Raw genomic sequence first — 4,097 nt, 5'->3', positions numbered from 1 at the left:
TTCAAGGTTTTCTAACGTAAATTCATCACTCTTATACCTTCATCATTATTTCTGATTACCAGAAATAATCATTAAAGAAAATACAAAAATTTCAAATTGTTTTTTACACTGTGAGTTTTAACCTTTTGATATAACTGTTTTGATAAGGTTTAAAAGTTTGTGGAAATATTTTTTTTAAATCTCAAACAACAGAAATGTTGTAACCTAGATTTTTGCTGAGTTATTTTTTCTCTATCTGAAAGTTAAGCAATTGTAATTGCAACTTTTGACGAATCCTAGCATGTTAAATGTTGGGTCTTTGAGCACTACATTTGTTATATAATAAATAATAAAATGATATGTTCTTTTAAATTACTTAATTCAATAAAGACAAATTATGTAAGATGATCTCAAATGAACTTTGTCAGAGTACTACAAGAACCAAGTATTAGATTGAGCTGAAGGATCTCTGATTTTGGTATATTTCTGTATAATTTGATACAGCACAATTTTAGCATCTGTGATTTCATTAAGAAAGCATGTGTGAGTTAAACCTTGGTTAAGTTCTATAACAAATTGTCATTTTTCTCTTTCCACCCTTTTCTTCCATCTATGTAGAATATACATACATGCTTTGTTTTATTTCTTAACTTGTAAAATATCAACAAGGTCTAAGGAAGAGATTGTAGATTATGGTATAATTTTCTGTCAAGACTTATTTTGATTTGAACTTTGATTTTGTATATTTTACTGTTACTCTTTGAGTTCCTATCACACTGACGATCTGAGCTCACATTACTTTACTTTGGATATAATTTATGATTATAGTTGAAGCATAAATGTTTATCAGTGCATGTAAATTATTGTGTAATATTTATTTAGCATATTGTTTAAAAATGCATATTTTCTTTAATGATATCCATATGTTTCTAACTACAATTATCTTTGAGAAAATTTTTGTCTCCATCAGGCTAAAAGTAATATGTGCTTTTCTATTCATTTATGTGAAATTATTCATTATACATTATTGAGCGCTATAAATTCTAGTATTTATATTTCTGTTTTTTGATGAAAATTAAAAATATTCAATTGATGTTATAATCCTGATAACACTTCTCTGTCTCTGCCTATTAAGTGAATCTTCAACTTCTTTACTTTGGAACACTGATCTTCATTTGCAGTCTGTGTTTTCCAGGTGGCTATCCTCAAGTTTGCACTCAAACAAACTCTATACTTAATCATAAAAAAAATTCAATTTGTTTCATGGGGCAAATATCATCTTGTATAGTGTTTTAAAATCAGCAGTTGATTAGAATACAAGAGTTTAATTTTTTTCAGTGTAATGCTTTAAGGGTGTGCATATGTGCTATCAACAATCACTTTTTTGAGCTATCTAGAGGCCACATGGGAATGATATACCATCTTGGATCTAGAGTTTTTGTTTGTTGCTTAATATTATTTTGAACTCCAGATTTGCCCTCCTGTGTTTGGATGTGCACTTTCTTAATTTATCAGACCTCATCTTCTTTCACTATTATTTATTTGGTCTTTCAAACTACTTTGATTTCAAATAGTTTATTAAAATATGTAAGATAAATGGAGGAAAAGTGATGAACTAGAAAGTGTATAAAATGCCCTGTCTAACTGATAATATGTTATTTGTTTTTGATTCAGTGCCACCTAATTGGCAATGAAAACCCAAATTAATTGTGAATTAAACACAATCTTTCATTTGTAGAAATGTTATGTCTAAGGATCAACTATTATACTATTTTAAATTTAAGGCAATCATATTACAGCAAAAATCATATTATGTAGTAGGTCTAGAGCAATCTCAAGAGATTCCACGTATTAACATAAACATATAAGCACTCATAAAAGAATCACTCATATTTAAACTTATTATAATGATAATTATAAATCTCAATAAAATATCCAGCAAATAAAGAAACAATTCTCATTTGCTTCAAAAATAATATAGTTCAAACTTTTCTCCAAAGATCCTTATGAGTCTAACCTATGCTGAAGACAGTGTCACCGAGAAAAATCTGTCACTATAACAATGGATCCAAGGATAATCAAAAATCACATCTTTCCTTGACAGTTGTTTTTCCTCCATGGAATAATTTACAAAAGGTTTTCTTAGATCAGTTTTCCCTAACGACAAGATCATTTGCATTTTCTCACAATAAAAGTATGAGGGAGGTTTCTGAAAACTTCTTGGCTTGTTGGCAAAATCTAGCATTTATAGAGATCAAATTTATCAAGCTCAAGCAGAAAATGGTGTGAGAAGCCTAACACAACAGCAATAAATAGTCATCTCCCAATGCTGTGTGTCACAGCTGGTGGAAACTTGCTGATCCATTTCTTTCACCAATCACTTGGCACATTCTTTTACATAGCAGTGCCTCAGGGCACAGCAAAGGGCTTGGAAGCCATGAATGGTGAACAGTTTTTCCCACTGAGCATCTGTCCCTGAGACTGTCATGAGTGTGTTGTTGATTTGTTCTGTAGCATATCCTCAGGCATGCAAAGAGGCAGGGACCATGGAATCAGTCAATACGTTGCTATAATTTCATGAGTCTGTATCAAATCACACTGTGCAGCATATGTGAAACTGAGTAGTTAAAATTTCCAAAGGAAATACAGTGTTCATCAAAAGATATTGAACAGCAACACACTAATGATTCACATAATCAAAGAGGAAGAAGTCAAAATTAGATTCCAGAAATTCAACAGGTATTTTTTTTAAAATATTAAAAGCCCACATTTACATATAGTAAACTATCTCTGTTCCCTTCATCATCTCGTCAATATCTTTCTGGCTGTCAATTCCTTTCATATTATTTTTCTCTTTCCTTATCTGTTCTGCTTCTCCCTTGTCAGTTTAGAGGAGTACTAGATTCAATATGCTTTTATCAAAAAGATTGAAAGTACCTGAAGGTATTCAGAGAAGTAAGTAGTGCATTAGGTGATTCCTGATGTGCTGTAACTAAGCAAAAACAAGCATGCCTGTATAATACTATCATTTAAAAAATTGAGTATCAATTGTATTTTTATTTGTATTTGGAAATGGTACTATTACTTTAGATTTAATAATTTGTTTTTCCAGCCTCTTTTTGAGATATTACATTTAATGATTCCAAAGTACTACAGACATTTCTTGTTTTTTTACACTTTTTACATTTTTTTCAAATGTTGAGGTTCTACATTATGCAATGACAAATCCTATTCTGGAAATAAATAACAAATAGAATTAGTGCAAATGATTTTCAGGCCTAAAGTAGTCCAAGCGAGTCAATACTTAGTTATTGTATGTTATGTGACACAAAACACATGATTTAAAAACTCAAACATCTAAAAAGCACAAAATTTATAGATATTTGGAAATGCTGAGAAGATTAACAGATTTTTTAGTTTATGTTTGAATCCTGATTTGTTCCATGTGGCGAAAGCCACAAAATACAAAATTTTGTTTTTTTCATTAAGTAGTTCAGTAGTTAAGTAGTTTTTAAACTTTGAGTTCATATCATGAGAATTTGGTAGGAAATTTGGCTCTTCATGAAATACACAGAAGTCAACTCCATAACCTTTTAACATAAATATTTTGGTTTTTTAAAAAATATATAAATATAGTAGAAATGCCCCATGGATTTGAACTTTTTTACAGTCAAATCAGATTTCAGTGCAATTGGAGGTAGTGAAAATAATATCTTATTCGCAGGGTTCTAGCAGAATGGAAATTGCCGCTAAACTCTGTCAAGTTTTACTAGAATTCCATTTTTAAAAAACAAGAAAAATAGGATATCAAGGAGGTTATGTGAAAAAAAAATATTTTCTATTGGGATTGGGTGATCAAGCACAGAACTTGCTGATTATAGGTCCAATATGATGATAAATAGAGAGTGAGCATTGGATTTAGCAAAGGTAAAAGTCTGATGACCCTGACAAAAAGAGTTTCTATTCTCTGAACCAAATTTAAGGGCCCACTGGATGGACTTTAAAACAAAGTACATGTAGATAAAGAAAGAATGCAAAATTGCAAAACACCAGAGAAGAAAATATTCAGGAAAAAGCATAGAGAGACATAAATTCAGGAAAGACAGAAGACAGACAAG

General features: G+C 30.4%; 2 annotated features.

Annotated features, from left to right (window-relative positions):
• Positions 3,259-3,428: an enhancer, noted in NCBI's record as "experimental_73157 CRE fragment used in MPRA reporter constructs". NCBI's record gives its function as "activates a minimal promoter by MPRAs in K562 erythroleukemia cells, with activity observed for the introgressed 4:127727550 or rs17011663 variant allele {active_cell/tissue: K562}" and the evidence as "EXISTENCE:reporter gene assay evidence [ECO:0000049][PMID:34662402]".
• Position 3,343: a transcriptional cis regulatory region, noted in NCBI's record as "Neanderthal adaptively introgressed variant 4:127727550 (GRCh37/hg19 assembly coordinates) or rs17011663 in the experimental_73157 CRE". NCBI's record gives its function as "modulates activity of the experimental_73157 enhancer by MPRAs in K562 erythroleukemia cells {active_cell/tissue: K562}" and the evidence as "EXISTENCE:reporter gene assay evidence [ECO:0000049][PMID:34662402]".

This window comes from Homo sapiens, chromosome 4 (genome assembly GCF_000001405.40).
Source record: "Homo sapiens chromosome 4, GRCh38.p14 Primary Assembly".
NCBI lineage: Eukaryota > Metazoa > Chordata > Mammalia > Primates > Hominidae > Homo > Homo sapiens.
The sequence above is the reverse complement of the archived record's forward strand: the minus strand, read 5'-3'. Positions and strand labels throughout refer to the sequence as shown.